This window comes from Homo sapiens, chromosome 5, assembly GCF_000001405.40.
Source record: "Homo sapiens chromosome 5, GRCh38.p14 Primary Assembly".
Classification (NCBI taxonomy): Eukaryota; Metazoa; Chordata; class Mammalia; order Primates; family Hominidae; genus Homo; species Homo sapiens.
The window spans coordinates 55,235,020-55,262,986 of NC_000005.10; the positions used below are offsets into that span (position 1 = coordinate 55,235,020).

Consider the following 27,967-nt stretch of genomic DNA (forward strand, 5'->3'; position numbering starts at 1 on the left):
TCCCCATAACTCTGAGCAAGCTCTCTATTCTGCCCTAAATAATGTCATTTGGGCCGGGCGTGGTGGCTCACGACTGTAATCCCAGCACTTTGGAAGGCCAGGGCAGGTGGATCACATGAGGTCAGGAGTTTGAGACCAGCCTGACCAACATGGTGAAACCCCATCTCTACTAAAAATACAAAAATTAGCTGGGGGTGATAGCACACACCTGTAATCCCAGCTACTTGGGAGGCTGAGGCACGAGAATCGAGAATCGCCTGAACCTGGGAGGGGGAGGTTATAGTGAGCCAAGATCATGCCACTGCACTCCAGCCTGGGCAACACAGCAACACTCCGTCTCAAAAGAAAAATAAATAAATAATCTCATCTCTAACATGGGAGACGAGCTAAGAAACACTGGGAGTGGTGCCAGGCCTTACTGTCTCTCAGACTATTGTTGGGAGGAGCAACATTATGGGAGGAGCAATTGAACCTGTGGAGAGGACTCAGATACCAGACTTCTTCCTAGAGAAGCTTTCTGGGTGAGAAGAAAGAATCCAGGAATTCTGATTTTTTCATATTGGCCCAGGTGGCCAGTGTGGTAAAGTGAAAAGAGCAGGAAGTCAACTCCTTTTTCCTTTTTTTTTTTTTAAATCTAATTATGCTTTCATCTATTTTTTTTTTCTTTTTGAGACAGAGTTTTGCTCTTGTTTCCCAGGCTGGAGTGCAATGGCATGATCTCAGCTCACCGCAACCTCTGCTTCCTGGGTTCAAGCGATTCTCCTGCCTCAGCCTCTCTAGTAGCTGGGATTACAGGCATGCGCCACCGCGCTGGCTAATTTTGTATTTTTAGTAGAGACGGGGGTTTCTCCATATTAGGCTGGTCTTGAACTCCCAACCTCAGGTGATCCTCCCGCCTTGGCCTCCCAAAGTGCTGGGATTACAGGCGTGAGCCACCGTGCCCAGCCATCTATTTTTTTCTTTTTTTAAGACGGAGTCTCACTCTGTTGCCAGGCTGGAGTGCAGTGGTGAGATCTGGGCTCACTGCAACCTCCGCCTCCCGAGTTCAAGTGATTCTTCTGCCTCAGCCTCCTGAGTAGCTGGGACTACAGGTGCGCACCACCACACTCGGCTAATTTTTGTATTTTTAGTAGAGACCAGGTTTCACCATGTTGGCCAGGATGGTCTTGATCTCTTGACCTCGTGATCCACCTGCCTCAGCCTCCAGAAGTACTGGAATTACAGGCGTGAGCCACCATGCCTAGCCTATTTTTTCTTTTTTTTGAAAATCTAATTAGTGAAGTCAACTCCTGAGGGTAAAACTGTGGCTCTCTTATTGGTTATCTTAGGCAAGACATTTCCCCCTCTGAGTCTCCATTTCCTCATCTGTTAAATATGGATATTATTATTTGCCTTGAGGGTCAAGTAAAATAGATGTGAAAATTCAATGTCCTTTTTGAACGTAAAATATTCGGGTCACCTTAAAGCTGTCATTGGGGAGTCAACAGTATTATCACACTGGAGCTATTCTTTTTGTTTGTTTGAGACGGAGTGTTGCCCTGTCCCCCAGGCTGGAGTGTAGTGGCATGATCTGGGGTCACTGCAACCTCCGCCTCCCAGGTTCAAGCGATCCTCCTGCCTCAGGCTCCTGAGTAGCTGGGATTACAGGCACCTGCCATCATCCCTGGCTAATTTTTGTATTTTTGTAGCGACAGGGTCTCACCATGTTGGCCAGGCTGGTCTTAAACTCCTGACCTCAGGTGATCTGCCCGACTCGGTCTCCCAAAATGCTGCGATTACAGGCGTGAGCCACCGCGCCCGGCCACACTGGAGCTATTCTGAAAAAAAAGCACCATCATTTGATCCGTCTGTGGACGTGAGACTGTCTTTGCACCACGCTGAAAATGCTTTGCACTCCCAGGGAGTTTGCCTATAGTTAGAGTCAATTCCCAACAGGTGGTACTTGAGCTTTGGCTTGATGGACGTATTCCTCAGTCTTCTGGAATGCCTGCTGTGCCAGGTGCTGGGTCTAAAACTGTAAGACTGCACGGCCCTGCCCTCACAGAGCTGCATAGTAGTTGGGGGAACAAAGAACCACTTGTTGCACTTGTTTAAATGATTACTGCGTGGTAAAGGATTACTGATAGAGGATTTACTGGATTTAGGGTTGATAGATAAAATACAGGACACAGGGTTAATTCGAATGTCAAATAAAAAAATGTTGAGCATTGAGTATGTCCCAAATATTGCATGGGACATATTTATAAGAAAAAACTATTCATTAGTTAGTATATAATAGCAGGGAACATATTATACTAAAAGATGATGTGTTGTTTATCTGACATTGAAATTTAACTGGGCATCCTGACATCTGGCAGCCCTGATGTCACAGAAACCCATAGTAGGAGCAATTAGCCTGGCCTGGAAAGGCTTCCCAAAGCAAGTCGTAGTTAACTACGACTTCCCAAAGCAAGTCTTTTATTTAAAAAATTACTTTAAGGCTGGGTGTCCTGGCTCACACCTATAATCCCAGCACTTTGGGAGGCTGAGGCAGGCGGATTGCTTGTGCTCATGAGTTTGAGACCAGCCTGGGCGACAAGGTGAAACCCTGTCTCTACAAAAATACAAAAATTCGCTGGGAATGGTGGCATGTGCCTCTAGTTCCAGCTATTTGGGAGGCTGAAGTGGGATGGTGACTTGAGCCCGGGAGGCAGAGGTTGCAGTGAGCCAAGATCATATCACTGTACTCCAGCCTAGGCAACACAGCCAAATCTTGCCTAAAAAAAAAAAAAAAAAAAACAAAATATCAAATTACTCTAGCTGATATGTGGAAAAGAGATTGGAGAAGCAAAGGTCGAAGCCCAGTTAGGTGCAGTAATTCAGGCAAGAGACAATTGTGGGTAATGAGGATGGAGATAGGATATTAGATTCTAAAGATTTAGGAAATAGATTACAAAGGGGGCTCCATGTTGAAGGTTAGGTGAATTCAAGGAGGTCTGTGAGTCTGGCTTATGTACTTAGGCAAGTGGGTTGGCAGTTAAAACAGTGAAACCTGTCAGTCTGTTTAAGGTCAAAAAGAAAGTTCCATGTTTCCATTCAATTAAGTCTTCAATGTAAAGATGGAGCTTAATCAGGATGCAAGTACCAAAAGACATTATTTAAATAATGAATGAACATATGTAAATACCAGTGGTTACCTTTTGTTCTCAAATGTTGCTTAGTTAAAACAATATCCCCAAGATTTTGACTGATTAATGAAAATATTCAATATAAACTTGTATATGGCTCCACTGTGCATCATGGAATTTAGCAAAACAAACCTTGAAAGGAGCTTTTCTTAGTATAGCATCTCAGTTGTAGGCAGTCTTTTAATTCAGGGGATGGTTTTTACATTTTTTTCTAACTCTTAATATTGGATAAAACCTATTTTAATTGATTTAACTTGGATATAAAAGCCTTCTTAAATTTACCTTCAAAGCTCAGGGCTAGGTTTTATATCTAGGACTCCTGTCCACTGCTTCCAAGAAAAGGCATAGTTTATTTCCCCTTGGTCGTTTCTCCTCTATAGATAGAGTAGGAAAGGAAGGAATCTCAGCCATGTCTTCATTAAATGGTCATCATGACATCCTTACCTCTTTCCTCTGCCTTCTGATGTTATAGCTTGTGCTCATTGTTAAAAGCAGTGTTTACTTTTAGTCATTTGTTAATTTATTCATCAAATATTTTTTGAGTTCCTGCTATGTATTAGGCACTTTTCTAGGTGCTGGGAATACCACAGTGAATAAAATAGACCAAAATTCCTTCCCTAATAAACTTTATGTTTTAGTGGGAGGAGACATAATAGTCAAATAAATGTATGTTTATGTTAGATGGTAAAAAAGAGCTAAGAAAATAAAGCAGGAAAGGGGAATGGGAACTTTAGGGCATGGGGTTATAGGAATTTTAAATAGGGAGGTCAGGAAAAGCCTCACTGAGCAGTTGACATTTGAGCAAAGACCTGAAGGAGTTGAGAGAGTGAATCATGCTTATTCTGGGGAAAGGGCATTCCAGGCAAAGGGAAGAGCATGTGCAAAGGCCCTGAAACAGGAGTGTGCCTAGAGCAGAGTAAGGGGGCAGAAGAGTGGGAGATGCAGACAGAGATTCTGACAAGAGGTGTCTAGATTTTATAAATTAAATATATTATTACAATTAACTTCATCTATTTCTTTTCAGTTTTTAAAATGTGATTTCTGGGCCTGGGACAGTGGCTCATGCCTGTAATCCCAGCATTTTGGGAGGCTGAGGTGGGCGGATCCCGTGAGGACAGGAGTTTGAGACCAGCCTGGCCAACATGATGAAACCCCATCTCTACTAAAAATATAAAAATTAGCCAGGCGTGGTGGTGTATGCTTGTAACCCCAGCTAGGGGAGCTGAGGCATGAGAATCACTTGTACCCAGGAGGCGAAGTTTGCACTGAGCTGAGATTGTGCCACTGTACTCCAGCCTGGGGGACAGAACAAGACTCTTTCTTAAAAAAACAAAAAGTGATTTCTGGAAATTTTAAATTTACATACGAACAGCCTGGGCAACATAGTAAGATCCCATCTCTACTAAAAAATTAGAAAAAAATGAGGCATGGTGGCTCATGTCTGTAGTCCTAGCTACTTGGGAGGCTGAAGTGGGAGGATCACTTGAACCCAGGAGTTTAAGGTTATAGTGAGTTATATGATCGTGCCACTGCACTCCAGCCTGGGTGACAGGGTGAGACCCTGTCTCAAAAAATTAAAAAAATTACATATGTGGCTCACATTGTATTTCTGTTGTACAACACTATTTTAGAAGAATTGGGCCGGGCGCAGTGTCCCACGCCTGTAATCCCAGCACTTTGGGAGGCCAAGGCGGGCAGATCATGAGGTCAGGAGTTCAAGACCAGCCTGGCCAAAATGGTGAAACCTGTCTCTACTAAAAATACAAAAATTAGCTGGGCGTGGTGGCGGGTGCCTGTAATCCCAGCTACTCGGGAGGCTGAGGCAGAGAATTACTTGAACTCGGGAGGTGGAGGTTGCAGTGAGCCGAGATCATGCCACTGCACTCCAGCCTGGGCAACAGAGCGAGACTCTGTCTCCAAAAACAAAAACAAAAACAAAAAAAAGAAAAATAGAAGAATTAATCAGGCTGAGAATACATGTGGGTGGCAGGAGAAGGACGCAGGCAGAAACAGAAAACACTTAAACTGAAAACAGAAAACACTTAAATTGAAACTTAAGAAACTATTAAAATAATTCAGGTGAGAGATGATGGGGCCTTGAACCAGGATAGTAGGTAGTAGAGATGGTGAGAAGTGATTAGATTCTGGATATATTTTGAATATAGGCCAACAGAATTTGGTATAAAGATATAGGGGCTGGGCACAGTGGCTCACATCTGTTATCCCAGCACTTTGGGAGGCCAAGGTGGGAGGGCTGCTTGAGGCCAAGAGTTCAAGACCTGCCTGCGAGACACTGCCTCTACAAAAAATCCAAAAATCACAAAATTAGCTGGGCGTGGTAGCTGGTGCCTGTAATCCCAGTTGCTTGGGAGGCTGAGGTGGGAGGATTCCTTGAGCCTAGGAGGTTGAGGCTGCAGTGAGCTATGATCAAGCTACTGCACTCCAGCCTGGGTAACAGACCGAGACCCTGTCCCAAAAAGAAAGATACAGGGTATGAGAGAAAGAGTCAAGGATGATCCCAGATTTTCTGACATGAATAATTGAAGATATGAAGTTGTCATTAGCTGAGATGGAAAGGATTGAGGGAAGGAAAAGGTTTTATGGAGAAGATAAGGAGTTTGAGTCTGTTATGCTTGAGACATCTTCCAGGCATCCACATGGGGAGGTAAAACAGGTATTTGAATACACAAATTGAGAGTTCAGGTGTGAAGTCTGGGATAGAGATGTGAATTTGGGTGTTAGCAATGAATAAGGGTAAATACCATAATTGACATTAAACAACGAATTTTATGTCTCCCTCCATCTCACCACAGTGTTTTTCTCATGTTCCACTGCCTCTTTGTAGAATGCACTGTTGAAACCCAATTCAATGTAGTTTTAGACAGGACATATAATGAAGTGATATTCCTGCACATCTCTTGGTCCTGTGCTCCACCTTCTAGAGATTTTAAAGCAAGACTGTCAGAGATATCAGTGCCACGTTTTCCTCTCCTCAGTATTTGTAGTTGGTATGAACAATATGGTCCAAGTTAAAAGCATTTTATTTTCCCCATGAAAAGTCTTTAAAATTAATTTCTGTTTACTAATCTCTCTGGGACCTGGGCCCAGTGCTCCTTAAATGCACTAGGTAAACCTAAAATACTTTAAAAATGTAAAACCAAATTAAACTCAGGCTTCTACATCAAAAGCTGCTTAACCACGATTTGACCTGTTTGTTTTCAGGTATGGTTTATGAAATCTGCAAGGCAGTATTAACATGATGGAACCAGAGGGTTTTTTTTAATTCCAGTTTGGCACTTCAGTTTGAGACAAAAGCCCCCACTCTCACCGTGTTCCAGCTCTATGATGGGGGCTGAAGTAGGAACAATGCATTTACTGACAGTGCCTTGTTTTAGCAAACAAAGTAGGTTGCCATCTAAATGTGAACGTTTGCTAGCACCTTAAAATAATGTTTAAACTCAGTTTTGATGTCACTAAAAATTCTAATATTTACTTAAGACTCTATTTTCTATTAATGTATTTAAGCATCAAAATTGAGACATATAACTTGAAGTCAGACAAGTTTTGCTGGTATTTAGTACACAAAGGGCAGGCATTTTTAGCACATTTTAAAAACCCGGACGTTTGACTTACATGTCTAAATGTCCACCTGGGAAAAAGGCTATCTCTTTGTTACCTGCCTTCCTGGAGTTTTGCCAATCCCCAGTTCACTAAAAGTTCAGCACACATGCTCAAGTGCACTGCTTCTCTCCTCATGCATAGATGTGCTTTTTCTCCCAACTCTCCTCAGATTCCCTCCTATCTGTGGCAATCTGCCCGGCACAGGCAGTACTGTGCAGTGGTTAAGAGCTTTGGCTCTGGAGTTTGACTTCTGGAGTTCAATCCTGTCTGCAGTATACTAGCTCTGTGAACGTGGGCAAGTTATTCAACCTTTTTATTTCTGTTGCTCTAGTGTTTAAAAAATTGGGATAGTAAGGGTATCCTATAACATTGTTATAAGGATTAATGAAGACATATAATACGTTCATGTAGTTTTCAATATCAGTTGCTGCTATAATTATGGTTTTTTTTCTAGCTAAGGTATAAGGTATATGTGTCTTTGTCATCCAGGGTGGTTGGAAAACTAATACCTGTTTTTTGGTTTCTTGTAGGGAGTATGTGTATTTATTATAGTTGCAAAGAGGCTACTATTCATATTATAGTTCCACTGGACTTTGAGATCTGAAGCTGGTCTTTGAGTACTGAACTAAAGGTCTAGCTCTCCAAATAAACATCACCTGGTGTAACATTTAAGTTTTACTTCTTTTTTTTTTTTTTTTGAGACAGGGTCTCACCAGGCTAGAGTGGCACCATCAGGGCTCACTGCAGCCTCCTCACCTGCTCCCCCCAACTGGGCTCAAGCAATCCTCCTGCCTCTGGGGACTACAGGCACATGCCACCATGCCTGGCTAATTTTAGTTTGTTTTTTTTTTATAGACGGGGTCTTGCCATGTTGCCCAGGCTGGTCTTGAACTCCTGGGCTCAAGTCATCCACCCACCTCAGCCTCCCAAAGTTCTGGGATTACAGGCATGAGCCACTGTGCCTGGCCCAAGAAATTTTACTTCTGTAAAGGTTAAGTCTCTTTGCCATATTCAGATGCTGGGTGGAAAGGTCTCCAGCAGCAACCTCTGTCCTTCCAGGGTCTGGATCAGAAGAGCACATCAAGAACTAAAAGGTAGTAAGCACTGCAGCATAATTATGCTTGAAGCCAGCCCAGGCCTCAACTCTGTTATGGTGTGGGATACTAAGTGACTTGTTTCAGTGGGCCTTGCAAGCATTTCGTCAAACTGTGATGGTAGCCTGATGCTTACTCTGCTGGATTCCCTTTAGATGGTGGTGTTGCCCATGTAGACTCAGGGCTGTGAGGAGCAAGGAACCTTCCTGATACTGTGTGTGTAACATTTAGTGTGTTGCAATTTACTTATGATATGGTCAAGATTTTGTTACACTATCAAACTTGTTTTGGGTATTATGTAGCTTCATTATACCATACACCAGGATATAGGGAGCAGAATCTCATCTGAAGAATGAGGTCATTCTTGGTGTCATTTGCTTGGAGAAAAAGTGAGCTTTCTAGAAAAGGAGCCAGAATAAAGGGAAAGATGTTGGTAATTTGCAGGAAGGAAATCTCTTTCTTGGATTTGCCACTCCCCTGCATCCCCATACCCTACCCTGGTATTGGGGTATCCAGGAGATTTGCTCTTCATTGTCAATGGTGAGTTTGAAAGTGATAAGCTGCAGATTTTGTGATATTCTCAGAATAGGGAAGTATGACACAAAACCAAGAGACTGTTAAAAAAAAAAAGATTTAGCTGGGCACTGTGGCTCAGGCCTGTAATTCCAGCACTTTGGGAGGTCAAGGTGGGCAGATCACAAGGTCAAGAGATTGAGACCATCCTGGCTAACACGGTGAAACCCTGTCTCTACTAAAAATACAAAAATTAGCTGGGTGTGGTGGCGCATACCTGTAGTCTCAGCTACTTGGGAGGCTGAGGCAGGAGAATCGCTTGAACCCGGGAGGTGGAGGTTGCAGTGAGCCGAGATCATGCCACTGCACTCCAGCCTGGCAACAGGGTAGGACTCCGTCTCAAAAAAAAAAAAAAAAAAGATTTGTAAATTTGATTATGAAAAGTAAAAAAAAAAGTTGAAACTAGAAAAATAACTTATATCACAGATATAGGCATAATTTTCTTTACCTTGATCTTAGCCAAAAGGCCGAGAAGCAATTGGCATAATTTTCTTAAGATATAAAAAGCTCTTATAAATCAGTATGAAAAAGTGTGACACTCTAACAGAAAAATGAACAAATATTTGAATAGTTTACAAGAAAAATGTCCTATATGAAAAGATGCTGAAACTCAGAAAAATCCAAACTTTTATCATAATTGATAACAATCCAAACATTTGATAAGAGGATATAGGTTATCAATATGTTGTTGGTTGCAATATAAATTACAACCATTTGGAAGACAATTTGGCAAGATCTGTAAACATTTAAAATGCACCTAGTCTTTAGCTCAGCAGTTCTACTTCTGGATAGTTAGTATACATCAATGCAAAATGACTTTATAAAACTATATTTATTGCAACATCCTTGTTAGAAGTAAAACATTGATTGTCTTCAATAAGAGACATCCAAAAAATAGAATATTATGCGGCCATTGAAAAGAATGAGGCAAATGTTTTTGTACTGATGTGGAATGATTTTCGTGAGGTTTTTGGTTGTTGTTTTGTTTTGTTTTTGTTTTTTTGAGATGAAGTCTCGCCCTGTTGCCCAGGCTGGAGTACAGTGGTGTGATCTCAGTTCACTGCAGCCTCACTGCCTCCTGGCTTCAAGCGGTTCTCCTGTCTTAGGCTCCCGAGTACCTGGGATTGCAGGCAGGCACTACTACAACTGGCTACTTTTTGTATTTTTAGTCAAGATGGGGTTTTGTCATGTTGGCCAGGCTGGTCTCGAGCTCCTGACCTCAGATGATTCGCCTGCTTCGGCCTCCCAAAATGCCGGGATTACAGGCGTGAACTACCGTGCTGGCCCCAGAGTTTCAAAATAGAGGACTGAAATAAAGTAAGGTGCAAAATAGCATGTCTAATATGTTGTCACTTGTATAAAAGATATGTATATATGTGTACATGTATATACACATATGCACACATCCTTGCATGTGCGTTGAATCTCTCTAGACAGATACACAAGTAACTGGTTACACTGGCTGTCTTTGGAGAGAAGATTTGGCAGATTAGGAGACAGAAATAAGAGGAAGAGGGACTTTTTACTGTGTACCTTCATCTACCTTTTTAATTTTGAGCTGTATGGATATGTCATTTGTTTTAAAAATGACACTGTTCATATGCACCTGGCTGAAAGTTAGAGAGCAGGGACCCTAGGTGAGGCCTTTAAGGTGGTAATACCTATTATATATGGATATCAGAAAATAGTGGATGGAATAAAACAGCCCCTGGGCACCCCAGGAGCAAAACTGTGTAACTTTGTATGCGAGACTGTGCTATAGTGTGGATATTTGTCCCTGCCCAAATATCATGTTGAATTGTAATCCCCAGTAATAGAGTTGGGGCCTGGTAGGAGGTGTTTGGATCATGGGGGGAAGATCTTTCATGGCTTGGGGTGCTGTCTTTGTGATAGTGAGTTCTCATGAGATCTGGTCTTTTAAAAGTGTGCAGCACCTCCCCCACTCCCACTCTGTCACCTCTCTCTCGCTCGCTCGCTCGCTCCTGCTTTCACCATGTGATGTGCCTGCTCCCCTTTGCCTTCTGCCATGATTGTAAGCTTCCTGAGGCCTCTCTAGAAGATAAGCAGATGCCAGCACCATGCTTCCTGTACAGCCTGCACAACTGTGAGCCGATTAAACCTCATTTCTTTATAAATTATTCTGTCTCCGGTATTTTTTGAAATAGCAATGCAAGAATAGCTTAATATAAGCTGGTTTTCCTTTTTGTTTTGGAACTTGGATTATATCAATGAATAGAACAGACAAACATCTCTGCCTTTGTGGAGCTTATATGGGGTGACGATGCAGGGAAAGATAACCAGTACAGGCTCCGGGGCATTGGGAATGCCAGTGGGCAGGTTGTGGCATTAAATAGGCTAGTCATTGGAAAGGTAACACTTGAGCAGAGACCCCTAAGAAGTGGAGGAGTTGGCCATGTGGACATCTGTGGGTATACTAGCCAGTGAAACTAGCCAGTGCAAAAGCTCTGAGGCATGGGCAGCCCAGGGTGTGGAAGACCAGCAAGGCGGCCAGTGTGGCTGGAGTAGAAGTGAAAAGAGTAGCAGATGAAGTCAGAGAGGCAATAGGGCAGATCCTGTAGATGCTGTTATCATTAACATTTGCTGGGTTCTTTAGCTTATAAAGTTGTACATGATATTTTATTGTAGCTTTGCAGCATTATCTCAACCATATGAGATAGGTATGACTATTGTCCTCATTTACAGGTGAGAGAACAAGTTCAGATTAAGGAGCTTGCTTGAAGGTGCAGCTAGTAAGTGGAATATTCGGTATTTAAATTCAAGTGTATGATTCCAGTTTGGACATTCACCCCTGTGCTGTTCTGTATTTATTAAATGTGAAGGGAGAACTAAGGAAAGGCTTTGAGTCCGTCCTCAGGCCACTGCTTTGAAAGGAGAGCTTTGCCAAGGGACAGAGCCCCCAGAGGAAGGAGAAGCCAACAGGGTCAGAGCTGGTTGCACTTTCTTGTGACAAATCTGGGAGGCTCTGAGATATGTTATAGCAAGACAGGCAGAATCCCCTTACCCAAGTATGTGCCAGCAGGTAAAAATTGAGCTAGACTTGGGCATAGAGTAAAGGAAGCAAGGCTTTAAGGCCAAAGAAAGCATAAAGCTATCTGGAGTGAGACGACCACAGAGTGCCATCTAATTTCCATGAACCAGCCACCTTTTAGGTGATGATCACATAAGGAAGTGACAGTTTACTTCACTTTTCAGAGAGAGCTCTGGTGCTGAATAGATGAGTTTAAATTGGCCAAAGAGTGCAAATTCTTATATCTGGCAGTCTTGCTGGGAGTGAAGAGAAGATCTCTGAAACCAGGCTGGCCTCAGGAGTGAGAGAAGTTTGTGCCGTTGTTCTTGAACCATGGCTATTAGCCTGTTGAAAAATACAGCTTATCTTTCCACCTTCCATTTCTGGTACAAATATATATTTTACATGAAGTAGAAGATCTAAGATATAACATGAAAGGAAGCTCTTAAAAATTTCTCTGGTTACTAGAATGTAACTGTACTTGGACACTATAGTTGTCTATCTCTGTTCCTCCACAACCAATATTTAATGAGTACCTGCTAAGTACCAGTCATCGCTCTAGGTTTGCAGCAGTGGATAAGACACACAAGGCCCCTGCTTGCATAGAGCTGGGAGTGGATAGGCTGAAAATAAAAAAGTGAGCCATATCAGACAGGAATACATTCTTAAAATAGATTTAAAAGTGTGGTGGCCTAGAGTGTGAATGGGTATCTACTTTAAATTGCATAGCCAGGGATGCCTCTTTGAAGAAGTTCTTGTGTGTTGCTAGTGTTTGCAAGTCCACATGTCAGTTTTTTTCTTTTAATGTTGTGCAAATCTATTCCCTAAGTGAGATTTCTCATAATGTTGAGAATATGTTTTTGTTTGGGGAGCAACATTTTCTGGTGGGCAGGAATCCTACAAATATTTAGATACTGATAGTTAAATCCTCTAAAAATAATTACTTCAAGGTAACCTGCAAAGGAGTAGTAGTGGGAAGTGGGCTTACTGTATACAATGAATATCCCAACTAAATGCAAGCTAAAGCTAATGCATCTCTGTGTTGTTGTTATTGATAATATTTATGATGATTTTAAATAATGAGCATCCAGAGATGTTCAAGGAGAAAGAACTCCTTATACCCAGGGGGGCATCATATATTAACATAACCTCAGCAGATCTATCCTGTCTTTTATTTCTCTACCACACAGAAAACAAAGAGGGCAGCAATTAGTATCTTCAGACTATGGTAAGATAAACCCCTGTTCCAAATGTAAAGCAAAGCCGTCCTATTGAAAAGCAACAAAAAGGAAGGCTGAAGGGCAGCACACAATGTGTAATGTGCCTACTTGGATGTCAAATCATAGGGTACAGATCAAAACAGAGCAGCTGTTGAGGGCTGCCTCGTCATATGCTGCTTAGAGTTTATGAGAAAAGGCATCAAGGGTCTGCAGTTAACAAAAGCACTCAGCGTGTGGCAGATTGGGCCGCTCTGTTGAGAGGTAGGATTTGGTCTATAGTTTGTTCAACTATACAGATTTGAAATAAATGGATGGATGGAGTGGCTAGGCTTTCTTTTCCTGTGGAAGATCTGGATGTTAAAGGTATATCATTCAGGAAAAATATTTCCCAGTACCTTCAGAGTGACTGAAAAATTCCTAACCTGCATTTCCATATTATTATCATATCTGCTGTTTCTGTATCAGCTTGCTGGAATACACATATGAACCATTTAGGGAACTCTATTCTGTCCTGTTGGTCTATATGTCTGTCTTTATGCCATACCATACTGTTTTGATTAATGTAGCTTTGTAATATGTATGAAATCAGGAAGTGTGAAGTCACTAGCTTTATTGTTGTTTCTCAAGATTATTTTGGCAATCAGTCTTTTGTGGTTCCATTTACATTTTAGAATTGTTTTTTTCTATTTCTGTAAAAAATGCCATTTGGATTTTGATAGGGATTGCATAGAGTCTATAGACTGCTTTGGGTCATATGGACAATATTCAGTCTTCTAATCTGTGAACATTTCTGTTTATTTGTGTCTTTAATTTCTTTCAGCAATATTTTGCAGTTTTCAATGATAACTCTTTCTCCTCCCTTGTTTAAGTTTATTCTTAAGTATTTTACTCTTTTTGATGCTATTATAAATGAGATTGCTTTCTTAATTTCCTTTGTGGATTGTTAGTGTGTACAAACAACTAATTTTTGTATGTTGGTTTCATATGCTGGAACTTTGTTGAATGTATTATTTCTAACAGTTTTTGTGGAATCATTAAAGTTTTCTACATATAAGATCGTGTCATCTGTCATCTGTGAACAGAGTTTTACTTCTTCCTTTTAAATTTAGATGCCTTTTTTCTTTTTCTTGCCTAATTGCTTTAGCTAGTACTCCAGTACTATGTTGAATAGCATGACAAGAGTGGGTATCCTTGTCTTGGTCCTATTTTTACAAAAAAAGTTTTTAGTTTTTCATCAATGAGTGTGATGTTACCTGTGGGATTTTCATATATTATTTTCATTATATTGATGTAATTTCCTTCTATTCCTAGTTTGCCATTTTTAAATAGGATTGTCTTTTTATTATTGAGTTGTAAGAATTCTTTATATCTTCTGTATACAAGTCCTATATCAGGCATATGATTTGCAAGTATTTTCTCCTGTTTTATGGGGTTGTCCTTTCACTTTCTTTCTTTCTTTCTTTTTTTTTTTTTTTTTTTTTTGAGACAGAGTCTTGCTCTGTTGCCCAGGCTGGAGTGAACAGTGGTGCAATCGTGGCTCACTGCAACCTCTGCCTCCTGGGTTCAGACAATTCCCATGCCTCAGCCTCCCAAGTAGCTGGGACTACAGGTGCATACCACTATGACTGGCTAATTTTTGTATTTTTAGTAGAGATGGGGTTTCAGCATGTTGCCCAGGCTAGTCTCGAACTCCTGACCTCAAGTGATCCACCTGCCTCAGCCTCCCAAAGTGCTGGAATTGTCAGAGGCATGTGAACCACAGCAACTCCATAATGAATGGGTAAAATGAGGCTGAAACCTACTGGGCTGCATTCCCAGATTGTTAAGGCATTCTAAGTCACAGACTGAAATAGGAGGTTGGCATAAGATACAGGTCATAAAGACCTTGTTGATAAAACAGGTTGCAGTAAAGAAGCCGGTTAAAATCCACCAAAACAAAGATGGCAATGAGAGTGACCTCTGGTCATCCTCACTGCTACACTCCCACCAGCGCCATGACAGTTTACAAATGCCATGGCAACATCAGGAAGTTACCCTATATGGTCTAAAAAGGGGAGGCATGAATAATCCACCCCTTGTTTAGCATATCATCAAGAAATAACCATAAAAATGGGCAACCAGCAGCCCTCGGGGCTCCTCTGTCTATGGAGTAGCCATTCTTTTATTCCTTTACTTTCCTAATAAACTTGCTTTCACTTTACGCTATGGACCTGCCCTAAATTGTTTTTTGTGTGAGATCCAAGAACCCTCTCTTGGGGGTCTGGATCAGGACCCCTTTCCTGTAATAGAATTACGGGTGTGAGCCACCGTGCCCGGCCCCTTTTCACTTTCTTGATGGTGTCCTTTGAAGAACAAGTATTTTTATTATATTAATAATTAAATTATCTCCAGCTTTATTGAGGTATAACTGACAAATAAAAATTATATTTATTCAAGGTGTACAAAGTGATATGATCTATGTTTACACTATATAATGATTACCACAATCAGAGTAATTCATCGTTTGCCACACAGTCTTTCATGTATGTGAGATGAGGATACTTAAGATTGCTCTCTCAGCAAATTTCAGGTAAACAATATATTGTTATTAACTATAGTCACCATGCTGTATACTAAATCCCCAGAACTTATTCATTTTATAACTAGAAGTTTGTACCTTTTGATCAATATTTCCCTATTTCCTCTACCTCCTGGAAACTGTTCAACTCTGCCTATGTGAGTTTGACTTTCTTAGATTCCACATATAAATGGGATCCTTCAGCATTGGACAATTATTTTTAATTTTGATGAAGTACCATTTTTTTTCTTTTGTTTCTGGTGCTTTTGGTGTCACATCTAAGAAATCACTACTTAATCCAAGGTCCTAAAGATTTACTCCTATATTTTCTTCTAAGAGTATTGTAGTTTTAGTTTTTACACTTAGCTCTTTTTTGTTTGTTTTCGATGTAGTTGTTGTTTGTTTGTTTTTTTGAGACAAGGTCTCACTTTGTCACCCAGGCTGGAGTGCAGTGGCGTGATCTCTGCTCATTGCAACTTCAACTTCCCAGGGTCAAGTGATCCTCCCACCTCAGCCCCCCAAGTGGCTGGGACAACAGGTGTGCAGCAACACACCCTGCTAATTTTTGCACTTTTTTGTAGAGATGGGATTTCATCCTGTTGCCCAGGCTGGTCTCAAACTTATGGGCTGAAGCAATCCACCTGCCTTGGCTTCCCAAAGTGCTGGGATTACAGGCATGAGCCACCACGTTCAGCCTACACTTGGCTCTATAGTCCACTTTAATTTCTGTACATGGCATGAGGTAAGGGCCCAAATTCATTCTTTTGCATGTAGCTATCCAGTGGTTATCCATAGCTATCCATGGTATCCACCATTTGTTGAAAAGATTATTGCACCATTGACACCCTTGTTGAAAATTAGCAAACCATAGACACATGGGTTTGTGTCTGAACTTTTAATTCTATCTACCAGTGCTCCTCAATTTACAATGGGGTTATGTCCTGATAAAGGTATCATCAATTGAAAATACTGTAATCATACTGCATATCACTAGCCTGGGAAAATATGAAAACAAAATTTGAAGTACAGTTTTTACTGAATGCATTTCACTTTCACATCATTGTGAAGTCAAAAAATTTCAAGTCAAACCATCTTAAGTCAGAGACTGTATATGTCTATCCTTATGCCAATTAATATTTTACACCCCCCAAATACTTTTTTTTTTTTGAGACGGTGTCTCAATGTCATCCATACTGGAGTGCAGAGCAGCATGATCTCAGCTTCTTGCAATCTCTGCCACCCTGGCTCAAGTGGTCCTCCCACCTCAGCCTCCTGAATAGATGGGACCACAGGTGTGTACCACCACACCCAGCTACTTTTTTCTATTTTTGGTGGAGACAGGGTTTTGCCATGTTGCTCAAGCTGGTCTTGAACTCCTGAGTTCAAGTGATCCTCCCACTTCAGCCTCTCAAAGTATTAGGATTATAGCCATGAGCCACCACACTGGCTCCCAAATACTTTTTGGCCATATTTCAAGATGGCAATTTGGAGGGGCTGCACACTACAGGTAATTGCTCTGAAAAACTGTCATTTTATGGGGGAGATTTGCTTCTGTAGAGGAAATCTATATTAGTGAAGTAAACCCCAGATGCAAACAGGCTCTCTCTGAGGCCCCTCCTTATCTGCCTTATCCAGATCTAGGAAAGATTACCTCACAGGAAAAGGAGACTAAAAATCTGACACTTTTAAAGGTCTGACAAAAATGTTACCATGGGCTACCCTCTATTCTTTCTGAGGGCTGCTACCCTTGAGACTTCATCTACATACAAGATGTAGCCTTTGCTCCCCATGCTTTTCCTTTCCTCTCCCTCCCATAACCTGTCTTGCCACATTCTAAGCCTCTATTCTTTTATACTATATAAACTTCATCTGGCCCCCCTCCTCTGAGCCTCATATTTTGTATAGCTCCCATGTTTATGCACATTAATACATTTTTATGCCTTTTTTCCCTGTTAATCTGTCTATAGTCAGTTTATTTTATAGGGAAATTATAGAACTTTCAGAAGGATGGAGGGAAGAAAATTCCCTTTACCCCACAGCAGTAGACTGCTTAGGTTATTTTTGAATGACCTTTTCATTTATTCCCCGTTAGCTGAGTGACCTTTAGCATCGGTTTTCTCGTTTGTAAATTGAAAATATATTACCATCTTGTTGTGAGGACTGAACAAGAATATAGTAAAGCTCTTAGTTCAGTGCTTATCATATAATGCTCAATTTAAAAACTGGAAATATACTTTCCCTTGGTAATACTCCCTTTCCTTCCCACTAATCCTCTCCAGTGAAGACTTTTCGTCTACTTCTTTTTTCTTTTAGACGGAGTCTTGCTCTGTCACCAGGCTGGAGTGCAGTGGCACAATCTTGGCTCACTCCAATCTCCACCTCCCGGGTTCAAGAGATTCTCCTGCTTCAGCCTCCCGAGTAGCTGGGATTACAGGTGCCTGCCACCATGCCCAACTAATTTTTGTATTTTTAGTAGAGATGGGATTTCACCATATTGGCCAGGCTGGTCTCAAACTCCTGACCTCAGGTGATCCACCCGCCTCGGCCTCCCAAAGTGCTGGGATTACAGGCGTGAGCCACTGCACTCAGCCGACTCTTCATCTACTTCTAAATGTCTCATGCATAAGAACGGATTTCATGAAAACAGGCAGGCATATTCCTGAACTACCACCAGGACTCAACAACTTATCTGAAGAGTGTGATTTTCTCATATGACACTTGATTTTTCTTACCACTGTATGTTAAGATCGAGGGCACCCGCCTCCTTTTCCTAGTGACTGTAGCACCTGGCCTGGTCTTCTCCATCCTTTTCCTGCATCCACACTGATGAACAAATATGCTGTTCATCCTGTCCCTACTTTAAATTCTCCCCACATCCATTTTGCTATCCATCAGCAGGGAAACCCTTTAGGTTTATTTATTATTGAAACAATTACATCTCAAGATTTTAAATTCTGAAATTCTCTCCTCTAACTGGCCTCCCTACCATTGACTTATTCATAATGAATTTGGGATTAGATTCTGACGTCTCCATTTTCCTGGTCCATGGCCTCTGATCTGGCCCCATTTGCCTCTAAATAAGCGATTTCAGTCACCCATTTCAATGACACAATCTATTTCATTCTAAGATCCCATAGTCACTTCAATGCAAAAAACTCCAGAAACCAAAAAATCCTATCCACTGTCAACTTTATCAGCTTATCCGAAGCCAGTAAGCATTGCTGGGGAAAACCAAAAAGCCTTTCCAAGTTGATTCCTATGTTATTCTGTTTTAGTTCTTTGTTGAGCCCTCTCTGATGTTAATATTATCCTCACTTTATGCTGGTTATTTCTATTTTTGCCTGCAAATCAGTGAGGGTCTTCAACCTTTTGTGAATATATTCATATTCAACCTATTATGCATTCTGTTCCTTTATAACATCCATAAAGAATATTCTATTTGCTGCCCCACCTTTTCATTTTTATTCACTCCCTAAAATTATGACTTGTACTCATGCAGAAAAGAGTTAACATAGCAAGCCAGAGGTCTTTAGAAGAGACTGCTTGTAGGGCTGGCCCTTGGCTGGAGCCTGGGAACTTGACTTGTGAAAAGTCCTCTGCTTTTTGTTAACACTGTTTTGCCTGCTAGAACACTTAAATGCCTGCTTTCCTTCTGGGAGCCTGGAATTTTGTTATGCCTGGTCTTTGTGCTTGTATGACCTGCCCCTAATAAAAGTCCTTGCACTCTGATTCTGTAGTAGGTTTCTCTGGGCAGAAACTGCATAGCACATAGGAAGCCTGTGTATAGATTTCTCCAGACTCCATGTGATGTGTCTTTTCCCCTTGCTGATTCCATTGTATATCCTTTCTCTACAAAATCAACTGTAGCCTCTGAGTCTTGCAAGTCCTTCTGGTGTATCATTGAATGTGCATGTAGTTGTGGGACTTCTGAGAGTCCTTCCTTCCCACCCTCCATTCAAACTGATCTCAAAAGGTTGATGTATTCATTAAACCTTAGTAATCTTTCCCTACTCTGTAACATCTGTTGACAATACTTTTGCTTTCAAAAATCTTCTTCCTTGGCATTAAGATAGCCCTACTCTGGTTCTCCTTATCCTTCACTCATTCAGCATTTATTGAATGCCTATATATGCAAGGCATTGTGTTAGGTATGTATCAGCGAGTGAAACAGTCCTGGTGCAGCATATGTTCTAGTGAGAAGAAGATGAAAAGCAAATGGTACAAGCTGAGAAAAGTACCGTGTTATGAGTAAAAGGGGATATGCACTTCAGTAGGGTGGCCTGTGCGGAGGGCTTTAGACCAGGAAAGTCTGCTTGGCAAAGAACCGGAAGCAATGTATTATGGCAGAGAACGCCATGTGTAAATGCTCAGAAAAACCGCTTGACATCTTCTAGCAACTGAAAAGGAGCCTAGTGTGGCTGGAGCACCATGAGACAAAAGAGTGGAGATGAGACTGGAGGATAGCAAGGTCCAGATCAGTTAGAGAGCTTTGGAGGTCATGTTTAGAACTTTAAATTTTAAGAGCAATGGGAAGCCAAGTGACACAGATACCCTTTAAAAATATCATTCTTTTTCGGATTAGAGGTATAAAAAGGAGGAGAAAGCCTAGTTCAGAGATTACTGCAGTGGTGTAAGTGAAAGATAATGGTGACCTGGGTCTGAGTGACGGCTGAGAAGATGAAAGACGAAAGGGACTTTGATCTTCTTACCCCTTTGCTGATTACCTCAACTCCCACATCTTTAATTATCATCTCTGTGTATAAGACTCTAACCCTATGACCTTACCTGATGTGAGTCACTGTTTCACATTTCAAAGGAATAATGATTACATTTCAGAAATCTAAATAGTACTGGAGCCATAATGCTTCTGTTACTTACTATCAGTGTGATCTCGGACATGCTATTTCACTTCTCTGTGCCTCAGTTTCCTCATTTGTAAAATACAAATAGTAGGTTAATATAGTACCTACCTCGTAGGTTGTCTGTAAATGAGTTAACAGACAAAACAATTTGGAGTGAGTACTAGCCTCCATGTGTCCCAAGAGGAACTGCCTTCAACACCCAATCTAGCTCTTTCTCCTGACATACCCATTTTTATTAATGGCACTAGAGATTTCAAACCATGGTCACATTTGACTCCTTGCTCTCAATTCCCTTGCCACACTGCAAGTAGAAACCTAAAATTAGAGATTGCTACTAAGTATTGTTTTTACTTCCATTTGCATATAAGGTAAAAGTTACGGTTTAATTTGTTCATCAAAAAATATTAAAATTATATACCTGTTATGAGAGCCAAGCAGTTATACTAGGTTCCTATTAAATTCTAATCTTTTGATCTTCAGATGCAATTTCTGCCTTTTGATCTAAAAGGGACTATATTTGAAGTTTATCAAAAATCTATTGATTAAGAAATGAGAAATCCCTCTAAGTAATAAAAATGGAATTTCAAAAGATTGTTAGTAACCAAAACAAATAGGACCAATGAAAAATACCTACGCATACTTTACTATCTCAAAGTTACTGACCTTACCAGTTCAATCGCGTATATAAAAAGGGTTCAGGGGCAGGGATATCACAGCGGTAGCCTGAGGAAAACAGTGCAAACTATCCATCCCAAGGCTGACAGGAGTATTTATTAGTCAATCTTGCCTGTCTTCCAGAACCACATGTTTATGCTTTTTGAATGTTACTGAAATAGGTGGCATCTATTAATAGTGCATTTATTTAGGTTCTGAAATTGACTATCAAATACTAAATAACTGACTTCTGAAGTTGTTCCTTTTCATGGAAATTTAATTATAATTGGTTTTGGAGATTATTTTCCCTTCTGGGTCTATAGGGTTTAAATTCTGCAGACATCAAGGACTGATAGGGGATGAGGCAGCTACACAGGGAATCACAACATTAAGCTACAGATACCACAGACATAGGCCTTGCCCTTATTAACACAACGATGAGCAAAACATGCATAATACCAAAGAATTTATTGTAAATGTAGTGGCAAATACATTCAGAATAATCATCATTAAAAAGGAACTAGAAAATTATACATGTTTAAAGTATGTGCTTTTTTCCCACCACCTTTAAGTTAATGGCTAGTACCAACATTTTAAGTAATGAAATACTTAATGTGATGACCCATTTTCAGATAATTTCATGACTGTATCTTCATCTTAATTTTTAAAGCAGTTGACCATGAATTTCAGTTTCAGTTATTCTCTGTTTTTATCAATTCCGTAATGATCTGCAGAATCTTGTCATCTGAGTGGAAGGAAAAAAAAAAGCCACGAATAAATGCAACATTGTCTAATTTTCCAAGGTATGCACATGTAAATAAGAGGTATATGTCACTAAAAATTTTTACATTAGAATACAGAATTAACACCAGTAATAAAACTAGAGACACCTATAAAATATTTTTTGCCCTACATAGATTTTATTGCTGTAGGTTATGCCATACCTAGTTTGACAAAAGTTAACATTTTGAAAACAGATAACATTTGTATAGGCTAAACCCCAAAGAGATAATATGATGTGAAATGTTACTTCTTTATAAGGAATTATAAATTTTATTCTATAAAAATTCCTTGAAGAAAGTAAGTTTCTCAACTTTTTCACTTGGCTGCAATATACTGAAGGCTCTACTGACTCTTCAGTGTTCTTCAGAGTATGGCAGAATTTCCAAAGTATGAGCAAGGAAGAAAGAACTGTTACCAGTTTCTCCATGTTTAGTCCAAAGGAAACAAAAAATTCTAACAGGGAAGCGCTCTTGGAGAGGTGTCAATGCGGAAGTGACAGACCTCTCTACACAACAAAGGAATCAAATACCAATTAATTTGACAAACAGAGCAACAGAGGCTGCATTATTTGCTAAAGGGGTTTTGTTAACAACTGCTTCTACTTAATAGTTAACTCTGAAATTGTGACTTCCTAAGAACCTCACAACCACTCTTTAGGAAGTTACAATTATCAGGGCTGCAAAACTGAAATTCTACATTTACGTTAGATACTCAGAGAATGCTGTCGCTTTCAATAGTTGCAATGGTTACAGTGGCATTAGAAACAACAACAAAAAAGTGGGAGGGAGGGGAAAAAGAGAGGTCACTTGTTTGAAGTTGGAACAATGGCAGGTCTAGAAAGAACGTTTTTCTTTTTTATTTTTTAAGAGATGGAGTCTCACTCTCGCCTAGGCTGTAGTGCAGTGGTGTGATCACAGCTCACTGCAGCTCTGAACTCCTGGGCTCAAGCAATCTTCCCATCTCAGCCCTCTGAGTAGCTGGGATTACAGGCGCAAGCCACCATACCTGGCTCCAAGAACCATGATTTTTAAATTGAGGAAGAGAGAGTAAAAGAAAGTACAAGAGTAAGTTCAGTTACTGTTTTTCAAATGTTTGGCATTCTACCAACTTTTTGTTATAAATCCAAGAGAGAGCACTAACATACTTCTTCCTTCCTCCCAAGTCAAACGTATATACTACACCCAACTTGGTAAGTTCTGCTCTCTCTCTTATGGCAAAGGGAAACACTGATATCATTTCAAAAAATCATTTTGCTTAATTAAAAGCTGAGGTTCAACCTATACTTTATAAAATGTAATTCTTTCTAATGCCAAAGTTATAATGCACAAAGCTTCCTGAGAAAAGAGCCCACGTCTTAATATGTTAAGACTTGATCTGTTTCCAGCAGTATAGGAAAATTAATACATTTTAATGCTTATGCATTCATATTTAGTTATACAAATAAACACAGAGTATGAGGCTTCAGGGTAGTAGAACTAGATCAGTAGCTCCCCCAACTTGCCTGTGACTGTTGAGAATAAACTGGGGATACTTTGTTCAGTACAATCATACTGAAGTCACTGATCAATTCTTAACATTAAAAGGACAACCAAATTTAAGTGCTTCCTGGTGTGACGCAGTGGGGAGAATACAGCACCAACTAGAAAGTATTATTTTCCTCAAAACTTATTCTAATCATACCTCCAAATATAACTACCAGTTTATAGGAAATACATGAACATGTTAAAGCATGAGTATGTAACTAACCAAATCCTAAATGTGGGACATTCTACCAGAAAAACAACTCAGTTTATTAAAAATAATTAACTGCATTTAAAAATGGGATAGCCTTAGAGGGGAAATGTTACAGAATAAAATATTTAAAAAATAATATAGCCACAGGCCTCTCCCATAGAGATCAGTATGTCTGGGGTAGGTCTTTGGACCTTGTATTCTTTGCAACTGCCAGGATGATTTTGATGATTTGGCAAGTTTGAGAAACACTGCACTGGGCAAACTGCAAACTCAGATGTCCATTTCAGATTTCTCTCTTATTTTTTGATGTGGGGTCTTGCTCTGTCACCCAGACTGGAGTGCGGATACTCGCCTCAGCCTCCCAAGTAGCTGAGACAACAGGTACAAGCCACCAGGCCCGGCTAACTTTTTTTAATTGTTTGTAGAGATGGCATCTCCCTATGTTACCGAGGCTAGTCTTGAACTCCTGGCCTCAAGCGATCCTCCTGCCTCAGCCTTCCAAAGTGGTGGGATTACAGGCAGGTGTCACCATGCCCGGCTCATTTCAGATTTCTGTTGAAGGATAATGTGTTTATTTTATACAGAGAAATAGCTCTGCATTTGAAAGAAACACATGGTGGAAAAACCATGCTGAAATAAACCTAACAGAAAGTCCCTAATCATACACACACACACAAATACATATATAGGTATGTGTATATATACATATATTTCTTAGAGACAGAGTCTCTCTATGTTGTCTAGGCTGGACTTTAACTCCTGGGCTCAAGCAATCTTCCCACCTCAGCCTTCTGGGTAGCTAGGACTACAGGCATATGACACCATGTTTGGCTTATTATTTTTTTTTAAATAATAGCTATGTTACCAGTTTACTAAAATGCTAATAAGTAACAAAGTTTACTATGCTCAGTTTTATTAACCTTTTTTTCTATGAAATGGCTAGAAGTTTAGAAATGAAGTTTAAAAGAGACAGGAGTAAACTAAACCTTAAGAGGATAATTAGGCTGTGAATAATCACTAATTGAGTTTGATGGAATTCAGCATAAAGTAGATGGGATTTTTTACGACTTCAGTGTGCTTTAGTATACTCCAATGTTACAAAAAAAAATTTCTAGAATATTTCAGATTTTCTCTTACAAAGTTTCTTTTTTTCTTTTTTGAGATGGAGTTTCGCTCTTGTCGCCCAGGCTGGAGTGCAATCATGTGATCTTGGCGCTCACTGCAACCTACGCCTCTCAGGTTCAAGTGATTCTTGTGCCTCAGACTCCCGAGTAGCTGGGATTACAGGTGCCCGCCACCATGCCCAGCTAATTTTGTATTTTTAGTAGAGACAGGGTTTCACCATGTTGGCCAGGCTGGTCTCGAACTCCTGACCTCAGGTGATCTGCCTACCTTGGCCTCCCAGAAGTGCTGGGATTATGGGCGTGAGCCACCGTGCCTGGCCTCTTAGAAAGTTTTTCCACACATTAATACATAGGTATGTGTACACATACACATATGTGTATATGGTCTTTCACTTATAAGCAAACACTTACTTTCAAGGGACATCTTTGGATTTTCAAGCTTTTTTCTTAAAACTGAATCAATGAGAACTCTCAGCTGCTTGAAAATGACAGCTATCTTTACAGGGGCCTGTTAAGAGGAGTTGAAAAAATGGACAAAGTCAATCCAGGGCAGTGTGAATGTGTTTAAGTAAATCAAGGCAAGCCTATATTACAATCTGCCTTAGCACATCTTGCTTTTAATGGAAAACACAATGGGAAAAATACAAATTATTTCTGCTAGCTAGGCATGCAAACCTGTCAATTTCCTTATTAAATCTGGTAACTCTTCCCAAAATAAGGCAACTATTACTCCAATAATTGTTTTCTTCTCTATTTATATCAACTCTGTGGAAGTTAAGACTACAGTTTTGGGGAGGGAAATTTTTTTTTTTTGAGATGGAGTCTCTCTCTGTTGCCCAGGCTGGAGTGCAGTGGCGCAATCTTGCCTCACTGCAACCTTCGCCTCCCAGGTTCAAGCGATTCTCCTGCCTCAGCCTCCGGAGTAGCTGGGATTACAGGTGCCTGCCACCATGCCTGGCTAATTTTTTGTATTTTCAGTAGAGACAGGGTTTCACCATGTTGGTCAGGCTGGTCTCGAACTCCTGACCTCATGATCCACCTGCCTCGGCCTCCCAAAGTGCTGGGATTACAGGCATGAGCCATGGCACCCGGCTTTATTGAGATATAAAAATTACCATAAAAATTCACTCATTTTCACTAATTTCAATAGCTTTTAGTAAATTTATAGAATTGTGCAACCATCACAATCCAGTTATAAAACATTTCCACCACCCCAATTTCTTTGCACAAACTGCATATAATTGTAAAGCTGCACTTAAAATTCACCTCTCCAGTCCTAGACAAACAGCTATCATAGAATAACCTAACAATGTAATAGGTTTGCTTAGTTTAAGCTGGTCAATCTTGATGGGAGTACAGAGAAACAGATAAACTTATTGCCAGAAATAAGCATAGGTTGGTCTAATTTTTCCAGAGAAGAATTCAACAGTATGAATTATAAACTATAAATCTGTTTGGTCTTTTTTATTCCTTTTTATTCCACAATGTAGTGGAATGAGAATAAATTTGGGTATCAAATAGTCCTAGATTTGAATCTTGCTCTGTCAGTAACAATCCACGTAAATCCTGGGAAAATTATTTAATTTCTCACTGTGTTTGAGTGTCTCTATGTAAAAGAAACTATAGAAATTACCTAACAAGGTTGCTAGGATATTAATTTGGGAAAATCCACATAAAGTTAACTATTGAAGTACCCAACACATAGAAAGCTAGAATTGTTATTAATAATAAATAGAATTTGTAATAGCAATATAATTTGATTTCCAAATTTAACAGATTTAAAACCACAGAGGCAAGATAAAATAAGGAATTCTACTTAACTCATATTAAGAAGAAATTATGCAAACTCCAATAAAATTTAAAAAATGTACCTCAATGGTACTGGAAGTTGAAAATTTTTAATAATCAATAAAATCAGTTGTACTATGTACCTGAAAATAGATCCAGCCATCAATAGAAAGAAGACGTTCTCGGTGCTGAACTTCTATATCACCACCAAAAAGTAAAACTGGAAAAGGGGTTATTAGGGTAGTTTCTCTCAAATACACTCTGGCATACCTTATCTACATGGGAAAAAGGGGGGAAAATAACTTCAAAATATAAAAATAGAAGGAGGTCATTTATCTTTTTCAAGTAAGCATTTTTCTACAATTTGTTATTCTACATTTTAAGCTCAGAGTATTTGTAAAGCTACATTTTCATTTTCTTATGTGCATAATTTATCAATTTTATAATAATTACTATTACCACCTGTGCATTAATGCTATGAAAAGGCATTTTAAATATTATTGCTAAGGCTGAGTTATATACTTTGAACATAAAGGAAACTAGGTACAAGCAATTTTATATGCTAATGATATTAAATAATTAATGTTAAAATTATGATTTTCAGTTGCTGGTTTCTAAACCAACATTCAGCTATGGGCATCAATCAGTAATCTCTCGTTTTACATTTAAGTTTGATAAATGTTGAGAGTTATTCAAGCCAGTGCTTGAAATTACGGATCTTTGTTATTTTAAAGGTCAAGAAACAAAATGGAGGCACTTTTTGTAAAGGGAGAAGAAATATGTTTCAATTCTTTATGTTCCCTTTTCTTCTCATACTGCCTTAAAAAATGTGTGAATGAGACAGGTAACAAAAACCCAAAATATAAAGAGAAAATGCCATCTTAACCTTTACCATATGTTAAAAAATAAGAAAATGGAGTGGTCATGCAGCTCCAATTCAAAAGGTTGTTTTCATTGTAATCTATAAATATTTGCTATTAAATTATCTTAGGTGATACTTGACCGAAACTGTTGCAAATCATCCACAGTTCTACTACACCATCCAATATTCCCCTTATTTGGAAATAGCACATACAACCTGTCTTTTATTCCCTTCTGAGGCAGCACCTTTTAATGAAATACTAAGGGGATTGATACATTATTAACCAACATCAATTTGCTATTACTGTCTTTATTCCAAGTAGAAAAGATGATGGGCAGAGTAGAAACCTTACTATTTGTTTTTGAAGAGAAAATAAGCATTCTTTTGTTTGAGAAGCTATGTGCATCTTGATTTCAAATATTAACAAAAATGAATAGCTCAATTTGAGAACCAAATAAAATACCTGTTAGGGCATCCTAACTTGTTATGAATGACTTGCAGAATAATGCTCTGAATACTGGAATTTAGGAATGAGTACTTCACCTTCTCCTGGTATAAGAGCCATCCATGAGTTTGCAAATCTCGATTTACTGAGGATGGGTGTACTTGTGCTTTGCCTTGGGCCGTCTCCACAATGCAAGCCAATTTTTCTGTAACATCCACTGACTTTGTATAGATTATCTTCCCCACATTGTCATACAGTCCAGCCACCAGTACAGCTTTAAGAAGGGCAATTTCTTGGAATGAGAGGGTCTGTGAGGCTCTGTTTCCTTCCCAGCTGGTAGAAGTTGTGGAAGATGAAAATCCTGCTGCCTTAACCAACTTTATTAACTCCTGCTTTACATCCTAGATTGGTTTATGTTAAAAACACAAATAATCAAATTGATTAGAGGAATTTCC

The 27,967-nt window shown here is 39.8% G+C and overlaps 1 protein-coding gene and 1 long non-coding RNA gene across 7 annotated transcripts in view; one reads left to right on the forward strand and one right to left on the reverse strand.

The window, feature by feature from the left end:
* The window catches only part of CCNO-DT (CCNO divergent transcript), a 61,409-nt gene that overhangs the window by 1,126 nt on the left and 32,316 nt on the right, over window positions 1-27,967 (forward strand). The gene's annotated exons all lie outside the window — the stretch shown is intronic.
* The window catches only part of DHX29 (DExH-box helicase 29), a 51,640-nt gene continuing 44,708 nt past the window's right edge, over window positions 21,036-27,967 (reverse strand). For 5 of the 6 annotated variants that reach the window (NR_144325.2, NR_144324.2, NM_001345964.2 and 2 more), the window contains exons 24-27: window positions 27,611-27,913; window positions 26,349-26,480; window positions 24,829-24,925; window positions 21,036-21,521 (exon numbers count right to left, since the gene is read on the reverse strand). Coding sequence is in view for 3 of the 6 variants with exons in the window: in NM_001345964.2 (NP_001332893.1) it covers window positions 21,469-21,521; window positions 24,829-24,925; window positions 26,349-26,480; window positions 27,611-27,913 (585 nt within the window). In the remaining 3 variants the exon portion in view is untranslated. Of the gene's footprint in view, window positions 21,522-24,828; window positions 24,926-26,348; window positions 26,481-27,530; window positions 27,914-27,967 lie in introns of all 6 variants that reach the window. The other variant, NR_144323.2, reaches the window with a different exon arrangement.